The sequence below is a fragment of the Homo sapiens genome, chromosome 13, assembly GCF_000001405.40.
Source record: "Homo sapiens chromosome 13, GRCh38.p14 Primary Assembly".
NCBI lineage: Eukaryota > Metazoa > Chordata > Mammalia > Primates > Hominidae > Homo > Homo sapiens.
In genome coordinates, this window is record NC_000013.11 from 74005814 (window position 1) to 74027073 (window position 21260).

General features: G+C 37.1%; 1 protein-coding gene across 16 annotated transcripts in view, besides 1 other annotated feature; it reads right to left on the reverse strand.

Moving 5' to 3' along the window:
* Positions 1–21260, reverse strand: part of KLF12 (KLF transcription factor 12) — a 619957-nt gene that overhangs the window by 319725 nt on the left and 278972 nt on the right. The window contains exon 1 of one of the 16 annotated variants that reach the window (NM_001400141.1): positions 20953–21075. The exons of the other annotated variants lie outside the window; for them this stretch is intronic. The gene's annotated coding sequence lies outside the window, so the exon portion shown is untranslated. Of the gene's footprint in view, positions 1–20952; positions 21076–21260 lie in introns of those variants that run through there. 16 annotated transcript variants of the gene reach the window in all.
* Positions 20990–21069: an enhancer, noted in NCBI's record as "active region_7817". NCBI's record gives its function as "activates an Ori minimal core promoter by ATAC-STARR-seq in GM12878 lymphoblastoid cells {active_cell/tissue: GM12878}" and the evidence as "EXISTENCE:reporter gene assay evidence [ECO:0000049][PMID:35858748]".

The following is a 21260-nucleotide window of genomic DNA, read 5'->3' on the forward strand; positions in this document are numbered from 1 at the left end:
TTGCTAACCTCTATAATGGTGTTATTGTATTTACCCATAAGCTTCAAATTACAACATGCTTCAGTCTTCAGCTTCATAAGATGCTTTATACTACATACTACTACTTCAAGTATTCTTTTTAAATGCTTTTGATCTGGCTCAGGGTGCTTCCCTTCCTGTCACCACATCTGGGTTCTCATTCTATACTCTCCTCCAGCATAGAAGTCATCTCTCCTGCCTTAAAAATATTCAGATGTTTACTATACAACACTTTAGTTTTGGCTAGTTCTACTGCTTCATGTAGTTGCAGAACAATTTCTGTCATTGCTCAGACATGTAATCACAACCTATTAACTATTTTATCCACTCCCTCTCCGCCATGGTCTCTTTGATCACTGATGTCTATTTGGCATTATAGATAACCTGCACCTGGAAAATTCTCCTCCATATTTCAGTGATTTCTCTGATTCTTACCTCTGTTCTCTCTAACCATTACCATCAGATGTCTTTTGAAGATTCTCTCTCCCTACAGAGGTATCTTCCAAGAGCCTCCCTAACTTTAACACATGCTTTCTCTCTGTGTTTGATCTCCTAAAAGTTAAACTCTTAGTGTCGATTACCACCACCCCAGGTAACTCCCAAAGGAACACCTTTGGGCAAAATTTCCCACTTAAATCTCTACTTTTTGTCCACATATATGTATCAGTGAACAAATCAAAATACATTTATCATCTTATTGTACGTCTGGAATTACGACAGCCATGGAGATTTACAGCCAAGACTGTTCCCCTATACATGATGGCTTACCATCTAGGGAAGGAGACAGCAGCACTTCCAAGAACTCAAAACTGAAGTCACTATTTTTCCCTCAATGAACTGCTTTCCCCTTTCAGTCAGAAGTCATCAGCAACCAGTTGCTTCAACCTTATCTTTGAGTCAATGTTAACACCCTTTTCTACCATTGTATAACAAAAATCCATCCTTCTCTCCAAAGACTCTTTAGATTGACTTTTGCAATTTTCCTTTGCCACCTCATCTCCTTTAGGTCCTCATTTAACAAGTCTGAACGATTGCTCATCTCTAGTCTCTGCTCTTTCCAATGCACATGACAAACATACCTGGCTAATGTTTGAGATATTTCATCACGATAATCCCAGTCTCAAGAATTTACATTATTTTTTTCCAGTACGTCTCAATTTACATTTACTTTCACAGCCCTTCTGAAGAGGAAGGGGTTTCCTCCTCTTCCTCTGGGAGGGGTTCCATCTCTGCCTGCAGCCAAATCTCTCCTGCATTATCATCTCCTCACGTAGACACAAGTACTGAATAAAATCAACACAGCCAACTATTTTTTAATTAACCTTAGAATTTGTAAATAGGACTGCCTTTAAAAATCTACTGTAGGCATCACATTTTGTGGTGAAATACTGAAAGCTTTACCCACTGAAATCAGAAAAAGACAGAAATCAGAAAAAGACAAGGATATTTTTATTTTTTTTTTTTGAGATGGAGTCTCGCTGCCTCCCAGGTTGGAGTGCAGTGGCGCGATCTCGGCTCACTGCAAGCTCCATCCCCCCCGGGTTCACGTCATTCTCCTGCCTCAGTCTCAGCTGGGACCACAGGCGCCCGCCACCACGCCCGGTAATTTTTTTTTTTGTATTTTTAGTAGAGACAGGGTTTCACCGTGTTCGCCAGGATGGTCCCGATCTCCTGACCTCGTGATCCGCCCGCCTCGGCCTCCCAGTGTGCTGGGATTACAGGCGTGAGCCACCGCGGCCGGCCAAGACAAGGGTATTTTTCATTACCCCAATACAGCTAATGTCGGAGGTTCTAGCAAGTACCATAAAGCCTAAAGATATAAAATAAACATTAGTTTAAAACAAAATTGTTATTATTCGTGGAAAACATAATTCTGTAGCAGAAAATATGAAGAATAGTCACAATATTAGAATTAACATGAATTTAGTATCATCACTGATTTTCGTATGCAGACATACACAAATCAATATACCAAAACAAAAAACATTTATACCTGGAAATTTAAAAAACAATGAAATGCTATAAAACAATGAGAACAAACAACTGGTACATGGAAAAAAAAAAACGCAATGTGAAATAAAATTAAACCAGTTACAAAAGTGCACACAATTTGAGTCCATTCAAAAGACTCAAAAACAGTTAACATCAATTGATATGAAATCAAAGTAACAGTTACATTGAGAGAGTGACAATGACCAGCTGGAAAGGGATACAAGGGGCTGACTTTGGGGATGGTAATGTTTTAATATTTTATCTGGGTGGTAGTTACATGGATGTGTTCAATTCTGAACATTTACTGAGGCATATACTTATGATTTATACAATTTTTGCACTTTTTATTTCACTAAAACAAAAACTTTCCTGTAAGATAAATTTTGATCAGACCAATTCCTAATTTTGAGTCATACTGCCCAAATTATAGAGCAATGTCCAGTATATGCATGAGTCACTCCAAAATCAGCTACCACCAAGGACCAATCAATTAATAAGAGAGGGTACATGAGCCACTCTTGTTTGGAGGAGGCCAAGCAACTGGAAACACATCTGGTATTCCATCCATCTCATAAAGTCCTTTACATCAGCAACAGCTTTTAATGCAAACAAGTTATACAATGCATTTTGTTTGGGGTTTCTGTTGTTCTTTGCAATATGATGAATTCTTATGGCTGACGACTAAATATTATTTGATTCGCTAATGAAGATTCACACCAAATTAGATGGAGAAAACAATTTGGTCATTTTTCCTTAATTAAACTGCAATACTACCATTAACTACTGTATGTGCCAATTGGCAAGTCAGTTAAACTTTCTGGTCTCAGCATCCTCATTTATGAAATTAAGGGGTTGAAGATCTTTGAGTCTCCTTTCATTAATAAAGTTGTGGATCCTATAAATCCTATATTTTGTACATGCACAAGTCTGCAAGACAACTGTAATGAGCTGGAATAGATTAATATTGTTAACAGAATTTGAGTTCTGACTCTGCACTGATGAATTCATAAAATTTAACCAATCTTCTCATTCCCAGTAGCTCCCAACCTGCTTCAGGCAGGAATAAAATCGATAACTTATGTCCATTGTAACCAGCACTCCTCTTCTATTTACTACATACCACTCTGAAAGGAGATTCTTAGGAGATACAAATGAGGACCATGGAGTGAAATATTTTCACTATTTCCCAGCTGAGCCTGTGAATGCAACAGTAGCTGAAGGATTCTCCAAAGCTGGCCGAGGATGGATTTGTGGCCTTGAGGAATTCTGAAGGTGAGTAGAGAGGATTTCTTTTCTAAGCACAGTTCAATAAAGCACTGCATTGTAACAGTTTATCTGTGACTGTAAATAATCTGTTTCCCTACTGTTTTATCACAGCCACTTGGAATGCTCAGGAATCTATCTGTCACTATCTTGAAAATTTTAAAGGAGTATATTACTTACAATAGTATTTCAGCAGCACAAATGCAATTCATAAATCAGGTTATGTGTCAGGCAGTGTGGTAAGTACTTTATACACATTATGTTAAGTAATCTTCACGGTAACCTTGTGAAGAAAGGATAGTAACCTCCACTTACAAGTGAAGACAGTTCAACAGCTATTCAACCAAACAGCTGGAATTTGAACCCATTTTGTCAGTTCCCAAAGTCCACACTCTTTTCCTCATGCCATTTTGCCTCTCCCTGAAGCTTCTGGTCTGTGAGCTAGATGGAAGTGCTATGCCGGATTGTTCTGTAGGCAGCAGTCAGAATGGGTTTTAGGGGAACAAGAGAGAAGGAGAGAAACGTGGTAATTTTTGAAGAACTCCAGAAACAGCATACTTCTAAACGGCTTGATTTGCTGGCATGTATGGTCCTATAAGTACAGTCAATAAATGTATATAGTTAAATATGGCCAGATCTCAGAAGTGCTACATGAATTGTCACTGCAGCATTTACTTTGTGGATCCAAGCAAACACAGGAGAGTCTCGTGCTCTCATTCTCAAGTTTTAACCAGGAGCCACTGGCAGACTGACTCTAGCTACCATTTGGGAAGCATTTCTCCACAAGTAGTCTGTGACTGAAGGAGTTTAAATTAAACAAACTATAACGAAGATCTTGTTTGCCAGTGTATTTTACTTTTATTTGCTTTTACTTTTATTTTGAGACAGGGTCTCACTCTATCACCCAGGCTGGAGTACACTGGTGAGATCTCGGCTCACTGCAACCTCCACCTCCTGGGCTCAAGCAAGCCTCCCACTTGAGCCTCCCAAGTAGCTAGGACTACAGGCATGCACCACCACACCTGGCTGATTTTTTGGTAGAGACTGGGTTTTGTCACATGGCCCAGGCTGGTCTCAAACTCCTGACCTCAGGTGATCCACCCTCTTCAACCACCCAAAGCACCAGGATTACAGGCAAGCACCACCACGCCCAGATGTTTTAATGTAGGTTTTCTCAAAGACATTATGCAAGAACACCACCCTACACACATACCCCAAAAGTCCCAGGGGCCTCAGAAGTTACTGGAAAGCAACTCCCCCACCTATTTTGGTAAGACCACGAACAATAATTGCAGAGTTCAGAGGCAATAATGTTTCCTTAAATGACTATTCCCCTCCTGATGCTGGATGAGATGTGGCATGCTACACCCTACATTCAACACCCAGCTTTTCTGTTTCCAAGTTATGGCCTAGCCATAATTTCTCTAAAATCCAGTTTTTTCACATCCACAAATGGCTTAATGCCTACTTTGCATCATTTTGTCATATTTGGAGAATCTAAAACATGTAATTTGTACAAGGCGTTTGTAGTTATTATTTTTTCTTATTTATAAGTACTATTTTGGTTTTTAAAACACAGACCTAATCAATACTACTAGATCTTAGAAGCTGCTCGTGTCTAACAAAATCAAAAAAAGCTGCATGAACCTCTCTGGGTAGTCTATAATCTTAAATTATGCTAATTTAAGAAAGCAGAAATTTAGTTAATAAATACAACCAGATTTCTAGAAACATGCATTAATGTCACAGTCTCCTTTTACAGAGAGGCAATAGAAGACTGGTTCATGGTTTTTCAAAGTAATATCATCCAAGTAAACTAAAACATACAAAGGAACAGATCATTCTGAAAATCCATCATCCAGCATTCCTACTTATGTAGATTTTTTGGCTTTAGGTTTAAAAATTTAATCTATTCCAGAATTAGACTTTGATTTTCAGTAACTTCTACTCTCTCCTTTTTATTGCCTCTTTAATATCAGTGATCTTATTCCCTTAATTATTGGGAAATCTATATCTTGATCCTTCACTATGAACTTTAATCATTCATTCACTGAATCAACAAATACTTAAACTCCTTCCTCCCCTTTCCAATTAAATCTCTAGTGTAGTTAAAAATAAAGGAGGACTCGATTTCAGAAAGCACAAGTCAGAGCAAAAAAAAAAAAAAAAAAGCCATGGAATTATGAATTGGAACAGTATAAAATTTCTGTTCACAGTACTGCAGAGGCAAAATGCTAGAACTGCTAGTGGTGATTTCACTGACCACCAGGCCCATGTGTCCACAGAGCATCTACATGTAGCTAGTGCAATTTAAGTTGTTCTACAAGTGTGCAATACAAAAATAACTTTAAAAAGTTCACTAACCATTTACTAATCATTTTCTATTGATACACATTGAAATGATAATATTTTGGATATACAGTCGGCCCTCTTTCTCTGTGGGTTCTGCATCCATGGATTCAATTAACTGCAGATCAAAAATATTCAAGAAAAAAAGAATTTCCACAAAGATCCAAAAAGCAAAACTCGAATTTGCCGCAGACTAAGTACTACATTAAATCCATGTGAATGAAACAATGTGTGGGCATTGTGTTGTGAATTTTAAGTAATCTAGAGAATGTAAAGTGTATGGGAGGATACACATAGGTTATATACAAACAGTATGCCATTTTATATCAGGGATTTGAGCATCTGTGGATTTTGGCATCAGAAGAGTGTCTTTTCTCCCATGAATACCAAGGGACAAACAGTACTGGGTTAAATAAGTATTAATATATTATTTTAAATTTCAACTATGTCTTTTCACTATGGTGATTAGGAACTCTAAAATTCCTGAAACTGATTCAGTTATGTTTCTATTGAACAGTACTGGTCAAGGTTCCACATTTCAAACCCTTGTATGACACACTGGGAATTTTCCTGGCCTTTAACTGTATTTTATATAGACCTTAAAACATCCACTAAACTCCCCAAAGACATGTTTTCTTGTTTAATCTAGCATTTAATGCATCTGGATGTAAATGTATCACATGTACTGTTAATTTAGCACAATCTTCAGCCCCTTGGAGAGCTATAATTGTGCAGAATGTATTTGATGCTTCTTGGTACCTAATTTTTATCTCACCAGATTATCAACCTTTAGTTCTTAGAAAATTCTACAAAGTGATCCCAAAAGTGCTGGATGTGTCTTCCAAAGCACAGTCATTCGTGCACAGCCATGTCTGAATGGAAGTGTCAAGAGCTTTCCATAATCCTCATAGACTATTAAAACGAAAAGAGTCCCAGAGGACCAGAAATATAACCCAATATCTATTCCTGAGTACACTGTTTCATGTCCTGAAGCAGGGCTGCTTTTTTAAATTGATAAAATAAAATGTCACCTATTTTATATCACATCCCTGCTACATTGCTGATGGGAAATGCATGTGACAATATACATGATTAAAATGAGCACAACTAAGTATATTATGTTACAGTATCATCTGGAAACTCAGGCCAAGCCATCCTCCAAAATTCTTAAATGTCAAACCTCTGACAACATTTTCATTCAGTTGTTATCTTACTGTTGCTTCTAGTTATGTTTTTCCTTAAGCATTCTTCTGAGTAAACAAACTTGCTTAGCAGTTCATAATTTTCATAACAGGTAAAAGTGCTGAAAGAAATCACTGTACACTTAAGCTATTTTGCAGTACTTCAGTTCCTTTACAACTAGCAGTACTTAAAAAACAATCACATATTATATCTAACCACTCATCATTTTTTTCATGGAGTTATACATAAAGACAGTGTTTTCAAATATATGACCTCTACTAACTATCCCTGCCTTACTTCGATAGAGCCCGTTATGGGTGAGCAAATTGCCAAACTGGACCATTTTTCTGAGGAAACATAAGCAGCTAATTCAAATCTGTGACATAGAAAGAATACCCGCCTGGTAAAGAACATGTAGATTTCTTTCTTCTATGTCTGTGGAAGGCCTTTAAGAGTTGGCAGTCTTCAACAGCTGGGTACGAACACAAGAAAGGCCCCTCATGGGAACGGATTCCCTGAACCCCTAACCTTGGGACATCCTGGGGAATGCCAGGCTGTGCCTGAAGTTACCAAAAGGCTAACTGGGCATCTCCCAACTTTATTCCCATCATTCTCCAAGTGTCAGAGAAAATCACTATCTCAGCATACCTATAACAACCCACAGCACTTGAATTTACTTAGGCAGCTACAAGTCTAAATGCTAAAAAGAGCCAGGGTTGAGACCGAGGTGGCTAGCCAGACAGAGTAAGGCTGAAAGTGGCAGGGACAAGAAATGCACTCTCTGGAGAGAACCACTGCTACTCCACTCCTGACAAGTTTGCCCTACAGTTATATTCAAGTGACATGCATAATCTCTGTTTCTAAAATTTGCTAATTTTAAAATATTTCTGTATTAAACTCCTATAGTAACAACAACAACACAAAAACACCATCTACATATCAGCCAGTTCATGATATGTGTTGTACCATTCTTTCCTTCAGATTCAAAATATCTAGGGGGGCAAAGAAATTCTAAACTATAAGGATCCTAGATTTCTCTGGGCCCTTGCAAGGAGGAATATGAACTCACATAAAAAACATGCAGCTTCTACTGAAGCATCTATTTTACTTGTAGGGTTTTTTGATAATTTATATTAAAACGAACAGTATATTATGACTATAGTTCAAAAGTCACATAAAATAAAGCAAAAAGACTCAAATTCACTGCTTGCATTAGGCTACTTTCTTCTTCTTTTCTTTTTTTTTTTTAAGAGATGAGGTCTATGTTGCCCAGGCTAGTCTTGAACTCCTGGGCTCAAGGTATCCTCCCATCTCAGCCTTCAGAGTAGTTGGGACTACAAGCATGTGTCCCCACAGCTGGCCAACAGCAGGCTACTTTCAAACACTCACCTGGAATTATTTTCTATTTCTGAGGAAGAGTTTGAGAAATAGGCTATTGAGCATAACTTGCAGGGGGCAGGAACCTTTTAAACTAACTCTGAAAAAATAACATTTTAAAAGATTCTTCCACAATTTGGAGTTCTTGTCAGCACAAGGCCATTTGGATTGATGATTCAAATATAACTTGTACTGTGAAAACGTTCTAGAAGGGCCCTGGAACACTGTATTTCAGCAGTTGAGGCACACCAGCCCAGTGGATAGAGGACACCCCACTACCAGAATGATAGATTTGCTTATTCCATGCTAATGAAGTTTTCTTCTTCCTATGTCCTGCGTTTGTTTACTGGTAACGAATAAAACATTAAAACAGCCATTTAGAATATAAAGCACAGTAGTTCCTGCAAATGGTAAAGTTATGCTGGCTGTAGTTTAGGGTACTAAGGCTGTTATTTATAGAATAAAACCCATTATCACTACTCAAATATTGAACATGCGTAGTTTGTATTCAAAGATAAAGTTGCCACAGGGGACTATTGATATAGGAAATATGGCTGGAGAGATATGGAATGCATATTAAAATTTATATACTGAAAAGAAAGAATGTATTTAACAGGTATATTTAATATTCCAGTAGCATTGACCGCAATTGTTAAAGTTATATATGCTGACATTTCAGTTATAACCTTCTATTTTCAGTGCCTTCGCAGTTCAATCCAAAAATTTTCTGCAGGCCCAAAAGTATGTACTTTCCAAGGTCTCCGTCTGTAAAGGGCTTTTTTTGTTAATGTTCAGCAGATTGAAACTTTGAAAACCAAAGGCAAATTTGAATGTGTTTTTCCTCACAGGACCACCAAATTTTGAAATGAATAAGTAAGGATTTAACACAATGTTTTTCTAAGTAAAGCTGTGAGGTTAAGAGTTTGCCATGGTTAATTCAATAGCAAATGGTGAAGTCAGGAATCAAATCCAAGGATTGTGAATCCAAAATCTGTGCTCATAACTACTACAGTTTATTACCTTTTCATGATCATAGCTGGATAGAGGCACATTTATATATAATAAATTATATACTATTAGTATACAGTAGTATGTAATATAAACAGTAGATTATATACATCTAATTGTAAAACAATGCTAGAAAATGTTTACTCTTCTAATCTTTCTAGTATCCTGCAACTCTTACTATTACCATAGACTGATCCATGTCTAATTTATTGCTATTGTAATCCCTAGTAAACTTAAAAGGTGTATGTGTAATTCTTTGTGCAATTTCTGAAGTCTCCACTAGGTTATAAATTTGGTGAGCACAGGGTACCATAAGGCTCACTGAACTTTCTAAGACCTATTTTCTTCTAATATAAATGATGAGTAATAACAGTGCCTGTATCATAAACTGGCTAAAGGAATTAAACGAAATAATGCGAGTGCTTATCACAGTGCCCAGCACATAGGAAACACTCAGTAAATGACGATTGTTATCATTGTTATTATTACTTTTATCCACCCTAGTGCGCCCATGAGTTTCACAGGGTTGGGTGCATGAGAGAATCTCAGTAAATAATAAAAAGTCTTAAAATATTCATTAATTTAAGCAACACCCCCTAGATATACTTACATACACCCTCTCTTTCCACAGGCATAGCAATCTCTCCAACATGAATATTTGTACACTGTTCCCTCTATCTTTATAAAACACTATTACCCAACCTAATTTTAATCTGGCTAACTCCTACTTTGCCTCTAGGTTCTGACTCCCTTTCTTCCCAAGGTAGGTCTTAAACTCTGAGACTATTACGGGACTCACTTATGCTTTCATTGGACTCTCTTCTTGCCCCTAATCATCAAAGCATTTAACAACAAGCATTCTTAATATCATTGTATTTGCCTTAATACACCACCAGACTGCAAAATTCCTTAGCCAGATACTATCCTTTTATCATGGTAAAGGCATTAGAGATATGGACATAAAAGATGGACATAACAGATGTTTACTAAACATTGGTTTTTAAAAAAAGAGCAAATAAGTATGTCTATTGGAATAACTTTTCCATTATTCTCATCCTCCCTAGCAAATGTCTCACTGGATTTAGGCTTTGGTTCAATTTCTAAAATGAACCAAAAGGAAAATGACAGATAAGCCCATTAAAAAAGAAAAATGGACCAAAAACAAACAAAAAATTTGGATAAGTTCCTCCCAAGAGATAGCCAAATGGCCATTTACATGCGAAAGATATTCATTAATATGAATCATTAGGAAAATGCACATTAAAACCACCAAGAGACACCAATACACAGCCATTAGAATGGCAAAAAGACAATGTGAAGAATAAAAACAATACGGAGTATCTGGAATTCCAGATTTGGTTTGTTTGTTTTTTAAGAGACAAGGTCTTGCTCTGTCACCCAGGCTGGAGTGCAATGGCATGTGATCATAGCTCAGTGAAGCCTCAAACTCCTGGGCTCAAGCCATCCTCCCACCTCAGCCTCCTAAGTAGCTAGGAGTACAGGCATGTGCCACCATGCCCAGCTAATTTTTTAAATTTTTGGTAGAGACGAGGTCTTACTCTGTTGCCCATACTGGTCTTGACCTCCTGACCTCAAGTGTTCCTCCTGCCCTAGCCTCCCACAGTGCTGGGATTACAGGTGTAAGCCACCATGCCCTGCCTCTCATGTAGCATTGACAAATGTCTAAATGACACAGTTACTTAGGCAAACTGTTTGGCAGTGTCTACTAAAATGAAAATATACTCCTTAAGACTCAGCAATTCTACTTTTAGAAACATGCCCTACACTTTTTTGTGTACATGGTGCACCAAAAGGCACTTCTAGAAAATTCACAGTGCAGATTCCCAACTGCTGTAAACTGGAAACAATCCAAATGTCTATCATCAGTAAAATGGATGAATAAATCTGTGGAAGCTTTTTGATAAACTCATAATGGAATATTATACATCAATTTTAAAATTCATATGGACCCCCAAAATAATGTTGAGCAGAAAAGGCCGGACTCAAAACAGCACATGTACTCGTGGCATTCAGGGACAGTCGTCTATGGTGATAGGAGACAGCACAGTAGTTGACACTTGTGCAAGAGGCTGCTGGTAATGTTTTATGACTATCTGGATAAATACTGTGTGTATATCTTCATTTTGTGGGAACTCATCCATTTGTACATTTGTAATATATGCACTTCCTTGAGTGAACTACACTTTAGTCAAAAAGTGAACTAAAAATGAGCGAATAAATAAGTGCCCTCAACCTAAAAAAAAAAAAAAAAAAAAAAAAAAAAAAAAGTCAACACATAAGGTAGTTATGTGAACTTATAAGTTATGTGAATTATCTCACAAAAACTTTATGAAGTCTGAAATCCTCAGAACCAGACAAGTCATTTGATTCTATTTGAGATCTTATCTTAATCATATCTTTAACTCTTCTCTTCATTGGGAAATTCTATTTTCATCTAGTTGCTGAATACAGACTACATATACACAGGATTAACACTGCCATAAAAAGCTATAGTACGTTGGTACCAACTTTATCAAAAGAGGCCCTCCTTCCTGTCCCCCCCACCCCCCAAAAAAAAACCTTTTTAAGTGATGGTACACAGCAATAACAGGATCATTATCTTTTTCGTTACAAATAGAAAAATATGAAGGAAAAGATTTTCCTGAGATAAGTTGGCGACTGTCAAAAAAGACAGAAATGATACACACACATCTATACATGTATATGTATAATAATATTTATACATATATCTAAAGCAAACAGTCTGAGTTGAAAGAAATTGGCCAAGCTGCAGTGAAAGGCACAGAGAAGCAGGCGCCCTGGCATATCAATGATTGTCTAACCCTCCAGGGATGAACTAAAGAAAGGGGAAGAAAGCATTAGAGCAGACAGTTCCAGAGCTGTCACCAAGGAGCACTGTCATCTCTGCTAGGCTGGGAGAGTACACAGGGCATGAGATTATTCAGTGGTGCATGCCAGCTCCACTCTACCTTCCTCAATAATATCATGGAAGAATGTGATAAATTAGGATTGGAACAACCAAGGCCAGGAGAAAACTTTTGAAAATTCTTATAATTACTGCTTTTTTTTTTTTTTACTTAAAAAAATATACACACGATTCAGCCATAATAAAGAGGGAAATCCTGCCATTTGTGACAACACAGATGAATCTGTGTGACATTATTCTAAGTGAAATAAGCCAGGCACAGAAAGGCAAATACTGCATGATCTCACTCACATGTGGAATCTTAAAAAGTTGATTTCATTAGAAGTAGAGAGCAGAATGGTGGTTACCAGAAGCTGGAGTAGTTGGGGAGATGTTGGTCAAAGAATACATATTTGCAGTTAGACAGGAGAAATACATTCAAGACATCTATTGTACAGCATACTGACTTTAATTATTGATATACTGTATTCTTGAAAAATACTAAGTGACATTAAAGTGTTCTCTCCAAAAAACAGTAACTATGTGAGGTAATGCATTTGTTAATTAGCTAGATTTAACCATTCTACGGTGTATATGTACTTCAAAACATCATGTTGTAAATAATACATACAATTTTATATCAGTTAAAAAAATAAACTTGAAGAATATATACATACATAGGTAACATCTTCAATAAATGAAACTTCAATGGAATTTTACCAATTTAAATTAGTAATAATGTTTCTGCACAATGAATTATTCACTAAGGGGGTGCTCACTACTGTTGAAAAAGTATACAAAATAAATCTATATATATATAATTTCCACAAGGCAAATTAACCTTTGGAAATGGGCCACTGTTCAGATCATTCGCAAATGTAGTTTTTACTGAACATTTCTGTCTCAATGGCAATGGTGTTTCACTCCATAACGTTCAAATATTTAGGTATCATCCTAGCCTTATCATAGATGATTCAGCAAGGCCTATTACACTGAAAAGAACCCATGTTTTATCTTTTACTGATGAAAACAATCGATATCAGGCATGCTTTATTCAGCTAACAGAAATTACAAAAACTGTGTATGTATTTTTTTAAAGCTTGGAGGGGAAAAAATTTGTTTTAATTTATAATAACATATTAGAGGTCTACATTTCTGGATCAAGGGTCTTCAAATGGGGACTCACAATTGAGGCAAACTAAGTCTTATTTTAGGAACATTTACTTACATATACATAGGTAAATAAATCAAAATGTTAACTTATTATGTTTTAAATACAAATATGCAGAAATTAGGATTGGTCTTGTCTACTGAAGTTCAAGTTTTTAAGTGGTTTTACCAAAGAGGATTAACACTCAAACTTTCATTACAAAACTATATCTCTACTCCCATACTATCAACTATCCATATGAAAACTTCAAACTGAAAAGAGTTTAAGTAATTGAATGTAATTCCATTTCACTGTAACTCTCTTTGGATAAGCATATTCATTATAAATCAATACAAAATTATAGAATTATCACAGAGAAAGCAGTTTCCATTTATGCTGTTCATGCTGAAAATCAGATTTCTCTGTCAAGAAGCTTACTCATAATAGGTCTTTTTAACTTACAAGTCCCTTGCAACAAAAACTCTAACATCGTATGTTTAAATAAAAGTAGGTAGCAGATCAATATAATGTTACATCTCTTGTAATTAGATTAAAATACAATTTCTCCTTTTCCTGGAAACATCTTTTTCTTGTGGAAAATGCTCCCAATTTTAACGTTTTTAAGAGAATAAAAATGTACTCCTTTATTTCCTCAGCAAAAGCAAAATAAATTGTGCAGACTCCAAACTGCATTGAAGCCCCCTGGTCTTTTCTTTCAGGAACCTCTGTAACAGTAACATAAACTCAAGTCCATGGTCCCCGTGATCACATGCTCTCATTGCTCAGGGTCATGGCCTGGACATTAAATATAAGTGTCAGGCAGTCATAAAATCTTAACAATTTCAAAATCTTTAGGGATCAAATATAAAATGACATTATGTTGTGAGGGGACTGAAATCCCATGGCCTGTGGCCATGTCTTAAAGGTGCTTGACAAGCTGGGAAAGAAAAGAAGAAAAACCCAGTCTGCCTTAAAACAAATCATTCCTACATGGAATTTGGTTATAAAAAAGACTTTACATGTCTCATATTTATATTCACTAACGTATCTTTTCATGCAATATATACTTCAAAAAGCAATTTCAGAAATTGTTTAATAATATTTGGGTTTTTTTCCAATTACACAGTGCTCGTAAATGAAAGCAACTCCCATATAACCAAAGCATCTTAGAAAAAGCACGCAGTCCATGCCAAGGATAGAATCAAGCTCTCTCAACTCTATTCAACCTATCACAGCTGTGCTGAAGAAAGAAAACGGGTACCCTAATCACTACAGGGCAAACCCTACAAAGATGGCAGCAACACATTAATGATGCCTACCACATCTCACTCAAGGTCTTAGCACGAATAGGAAGCTTGACAAAAGGCAATGATTTAGAATGCACTCTAATTTTTAAGGAAGTCAGTGTTATGGCCAGGATCAGGAAAAATGAACCCAAGACACATGTTTTCTGAGATTTACAATCAGGTAGAAATAGAGAAGGGCAAGGAAATAATTGTTTAGACTTTTCCATAAAAATATGGAATGGAAGGCTGGGCGCAGTGGCTCACGTCTGTAATCCCAGCACTTTGGGAGGCCGAGGCGGGTGGATCACGAGGTCAGGAGATTGAGACCATTCTGGCTAACACAGTGAAACCCCGTTTCTACTAAAAACACAAAAAAATTAGCCAGGCATGATGGCGTGTGCCTGTAGTCCCAGCTACTCGGGAGGCTGAGGCAGGAGAATGGCGTGAACCCGGGAGGCGGAGCTTGCAGTGAGTGAAGATCACGCCACTGCACTCCAGCCTGGGCGACAGAGCCACACTCCGTCTCAAAAAAAAAAAAAAAGATGGAATGGGAAGGAGACACTACTGCTGACCACTTCATTCACAATTCTGAAAAAAGGACTGACAAGTCTCATGGTTTTCCATTACCATCAAGATCCAGACCCCTCGACGTCTGCTACTACACAGCTGTGCCAAAAGCAAATTCTACCTTGGAGAAAAGGTGGTTTCATGTAAAGACGGTGAAAAGGTGGTTTCACCTAAAGACCATGCCAAGAAAAAGGAGACGTCAAAAGAAAAGAAAAAAGCATTTTGAATTAAACCAAAAAGAATGATTGGTGTCATGAGAAAAATCAGTTTGATGTGTTATTAATAAGTTCATAAAATTGCTACTCACATCAGGAATGATCAGGCATTTGACTCAATAGCATTACTCCCACTTTTCTCATCAAGAAAAAAAAAAGATGCCTTACTATAATAAATCCTATTTCATTAATTCTATGTTAGTCTAGGGCAGTAAGGGTCCTGGAAGTTGGCAGTTGATTGTAATTCCATGTTTTTGAGAAACTTTCAGTAGAAGAGGCTACAAATAGGACATGATGTTCGTTTGTGACGCAGGGGATTCTGTAAAATGACTGCTGTGGAAGGGGGAACAGGGAAAAGTTTGGCAGCATAGCATAATAGATCCAGAGGAGGGTTGCATCTGGCTAGTACAGGCATGGGAGAGCTGACTGCACACATCTCTTTACAACCCCATGACTACACTTCAGTAGCTTGAAATCCATCATAGTCTGTGTATTTACATCAAGGAAGTCAGCAAATGCTACAAATAAGGGCCTTTTATTCAGGAAGTCGCTTGCCAGTATGCCACTGGTTAGTTCCAAAGGACAAATCTCACTGATAGTCTCCTATCAAGAAAATAGAAGTGCTATAATCTACCTCAAAGGATTGATAAGCAAATTAAATAAAGCAAGAGTGCTTATCAGTAGATACACAAGAACTTCGGATAGCAATGACTATGAGTGCTTTTAAGAACTGCCATCAAGCATAGATCTCAGAACCAATCTTAAAGAATTTCACCAATGATGAGGTCTCCCTAATGTGGTCTCAAAACATAGTGATGGTCATCAGGAGGGTAGTAAAGCATGTGGACAAAGCAAGGAAATGAGTGCAGGATGAAGGCGGCTTTCATTCCAAGTCATCTACATGCAAAAGACCTGCTTTAAATCTGATCTTTTTGTGTCTTAGATATTCTAAATATACTGTCATTATGAAGGAAATGGCAACAATACTAGATATTAGTCACTAGTACAGCATCAGAGGTATTAACAACATATCTCTTAGTCAATAACACCACAGGCACAACCCAAATGACAAGTCTACAAAGTACAAGGCAGACTGCAAGATGGAGAAATAGGAGCTTCTTGGAAATAATCACATAATACGGGGGCAACATTCACTGCAAACAGAATTTCAGAAAAAAACATAATTATACAGACATTTTTATGTCCTGCACAAAAATTATCTGTACTTATGTCTATACACACACATTAAGTCCCCTCTGTACAGGCTCAATGGATTATACACAACTGAAACAGCCACCAGTGGCCACAGTCTCCCACTTCTGCCACATGGCATTTTTCAAATTTTGTCTCCCACTTCTGCCACATGGCATTTTTCAAATTTTTTCCTCTCACTGGGTATCCCCTCACATCTATACTTTTGCAACCTTACACTTTCATTCTCATTTCCTTCATGTGGGCCCAAGACAGGTTTTCCCACAGAACATGCAATGGTGCAGAAAATAGGAGGGAAAAGGGTAAATCCAAAAAAAAAAAAAAAATTGACCCCCTCTCACCCCACCTGCAGCCACCTGCACCCACCTGCAGTGACCACTCCAACCCCCCCAACATATAACGTATTGGCCGCCTCCTTTGAAGATGTCTGGGAAGGCCTTGAATTATGAAAAAGAAAGAACACAGTACAGAAGAAGGTATTTTGTCATGCTGAGATCTCATCCATCCATCCACTGTGGAAAAAAAAAAAAAATCACCGGGAGCTTCAAAACTCTCTTCGACCTAACTCTCTGCATCCCTAACCAAATGGCAGGCTGCATCCCTAACCTCTGGTGTTGGGGCTCACGCATCAGTAAGTTTCAGAAGCCAACAAACTGATTCTAATGTGCACCTGGCTAGTTCTTACTCTTCCCTCTGCACTAGTGATTCTCTGCTCTAGCTGCATATTCCAAGATTCCCTTGGGAAGTTTTAAAACATACAGATGCCCAGGCCCTACCCTTAACCCACCAGATTAGAACCTCTGGGGATGGGATCCTAGTATGGAATAGCTTTCCCATAAAATGCCAAACTGAAGTGATGGTTGAAAATGAATGTTCTTCACCTACAGATGTTTGGTTTTGTTTTTGAGAATTTTCGAGAACGTTAAAAATTACTTACATGTTTGCTAAAAAACAGACTTACAGGGGAGAAACTCAGAGACCGTGTTCTTCTCTACTTATTGGCAGGTGTATTAGTTTCCTAGGGCTGCAGTAAGGAAGTAGCACATGCCAGGTGGCTTTTAAGAACAGAAATCTACTCTCTCACAGTTATGGAGGCTGAAATTCCAAAATCAAGTTGTTGGTAGGGCCACGTTCTCTCTGAAGCCTGTAGAGCAGAATCTGTTCCATGCCTTTCTCTGAGTTTCTGGTGGTTCCAATAATCGCTGGTATTCCTTGGCCTGTAAATATATCACTCCAATCTCTGCCTCTGTGACATGGTGCTCTCCCTATGTGTGTGTCTTCTTAGAAGGACACAGCCATATTGGATTAAAGGCCACTCTACTCTAGGATGACCTCATCTTAATTCATTACATTGGCAACAACTCTAATTCCAAATGAGATCACATTCTGAGGTCCCAAAAAGGACATGAATTTTGTGGGGACACTAACCCAGGAACTAACTAGCAGGAAAGGGGGCTGATAGCTACTATGGCCAGAGCATCAGCTGTTCATTGTGAAGAGGTAGCAGATTAAGCAAGTTTCTGGTGATCTTGAAGAAAAGGGGCATGTGAAATACAGCTAGGGTTAAGACAGTTCCTAAGAGATCAAAGTGCAAAGAGATTCCAACCCCTAACAGTTTTATCACCACCAGTGCACTGGAGCCCCACTGCAACTCCTAGCCTCTGAAATATCAAGTTGTGTATGGCTTATAACTTTCAAATCCATATTTATACTGTCAGAGCTACAGCAATGCCCCTAAAAATTCATACGAAAACTCAAAACATTTTCCAATAGATACACTGTCATATACAGGGTTATCACATAATGGCAGTACCATATTCTAATTTGGGGGATACTGTAGAAGAAATAAGCTTTGTGGAATTAACCACACCTCACAGACAGATACATAATCATCAACTATATTTCAGGAGAAAATACATTCTCAATTCCAACTTCATGCTCTAACAAATATCCAACAAAATAGTAAATTCTCCATGGCTTACCAGCTTAGTTGCCCATCTAATGGTTTATGTATTTGATTGTACTCACTATATAGTTAATACAGAACATTTGTTTCCAATTTAAAAAATGAGTATACGCATCATTCTGTCATGCTCAAGAACTTATTTTTGATACACTAAGAGCCCTTAACAGTAACAGCAGCAATCAGCTGGACCACTGCCGAGAGAGGGCAGGCATGCACACACAATGAACACGTGGAGTGAAAATATTTTTCACCAAAATAGTAATTCCATAGGTACAAATTAGTTAGGCCACTGATATTTGTGTCTTCTTCAGCTTCAAGTATCCTATAAAATAATTGACAATATTAACGAGTCTGTATTATTCATTTAAATATTACTTTAAGAGAGATAGGCAACATCATTTGTGGAAGCCACATTTTGTTTCTATATATGCAAATGCACTTGAGGGGGAAAAAGTCTCTCTAAAACATAGGAAATTAGGAGAAACTCCAAGTAATCTAACAGATTTTCACTTATTTCAGCTTTAATATACTTCAAATATTTGATACTCTACAGAAACCACCCACCTCTTCCCTGACACTTTTCAAACTTTAACCACCCACTGTTTTCCTAACTATGTTAAGTTCTCAACATAAATAAGCCAATGGAATCTCCCTTTATAACCAGCTCAGAGAGAAAAAAAATCTCTTCTATTTACTAAGCTGACAGGTACTTTGATCTCTCACAGACTCATTCAGGTAACAATGTACATATGACAGAGTTTAAAGAAAGCAAACTCCTTTGGAAATTTAAAGTGTCTTAGAAGTCATGAACAAATGCAAATAAACTGAAAATGCAAAGGGGCTGTATCTCTATCACTTGCCTTTGCTTACTTTGTTTGACAGCTATGTTTCAAAGTGCAAGCAAGGAAATAAATCCTTCAATTTGGCTGTGATACTTGGAAAGAAGCTTAAAGCAGTTTAATAACAGCAGTAAGATTAAACCATAATTCTACAAAAAAAAAAAAAATCCAAAAGGTGGCAAAAGGAAGTGCCTTTATGCAAATGTCATTGCTTCCCAACTACTTCTATTTTCTAAGGGAAGAAGTCTCTGTTGCTAATCGACTCATAAAGTGTCTGAATATATCTGATGCTCACTACTGCTATAGCTTCAAGGTCATTTTAAGGTTCTTAGTTTCGCTACAAGTGGGTTGTGAACATTAGTGAGTTACACATGTTGGACACTTTGGTTTGTTCAGAGTTAAAAAAAAAAAAAAGAAAATCAGTGAGTAGTCTAAACAGATGCAAGAGTTCTGGCACTCCACTGCATAGGACATAATCATCATTTACTAACATATACTGAGGTAAGAAAGGTACCCAAGGGAATTTAGAACTGTCCAGGTTTATATACTGCCTTTTTATAAACAGTCACTGTCGTAAATATAATGTAGATTATATTGATGAATAAAGTAAATGAAACACATTTGACTGACTGGATGACATTACCAAATGACTGCAGATATAGCTAAATGATGAGCCCAGGTAGATACAAAGGCATCTTAACTTCCTCCGACTTGACAACTGTCAGATAACCACCTCTCTAGAGTCCCCATAACAGGCTGAAAACATTATTTGGTAAAATGCAAACAATTAAATAATTTGGATTTGCTAAGATTTCTCTAGTGAAACAGTTGAGTTTTGGGTACCCTAACTCACAAACTTGACATTATTAATCATCATAATTTATGCCAATTATGGATACAATGTGAAATGTCAATTTCCTATTTTTATTATAAAGATCGATTGCACATGGATTGCAAATTCATTACATGAAAAAATTAACTCAAGATTTTGAAGAAAAAAAAAAAAAACCTTTACCTTGGAGGAAAACTGGGTTCAAAAACTTAGCAATACTTCAAGTACCAAAATATATGTGTAGAAAAATAAAGAGGGATGGAAGAGGAAAAAAATCAGTTATTTCATTTCCAAAAAAGTGAAATATCTGCAAATCAACCTCTTTTTAGTTGCATGCTTCTCTAATAGAACTGTATGTAATTCCTTTATGTAAAGCCTAACTTATATAGTGAAAAAACATCACCTTGTATTATACATTTAAAAATGGTTAAACTAAAATTTTAAGTTGTATTTCACAATTTAAAAAGAAAATTAAAATAGTGATATTTAAGGTTCTTCTATTACAAAATAAGGAAGGAACAGTTTTCATCTTTGTAAGTTACATATGCATGCACATATTTCCATGTTAGATACAGTTACATGACAATATATAATGTTTTAAAAAGGGTTAAAATAGTACATTTCTGTTACATGTATTTTACTATAATTAAAAACAACAAATACCTGATTTGGATTCAAATATCAGTATCATTCACCTTGATTTCTATCCAGGGTAATCTGAAAAACATCGATTCTAACCTTCTGTAATTTGTGTTCTAGAATCTACTTACATCAATCTTTAAATTTTTTGACCACTCTACCTCAGTCCCACAGGAGACCAAAAGGTAGGAAAAAGATTCCAGGGCCCCATTTGTGCTTCAAGTCGATCAGCTAGTCCCACGGTGAAGTCAGGTGCCCTGATACAGCTTTTCAGGTCTTTTCCTGTGTGAATCACCACCTAGAAAAGTCAGGGGCCTGCCTTTGGTTTCTAACAGGAAATGGTGCCACTGAAGTGCAAATTCACACGGTGGGGAAGCTGCAGGGCTGGAGCAACAGCAGAGCAGAAAGAGCCAGCAAGTTAGACAGTGTTTCTCTTAAA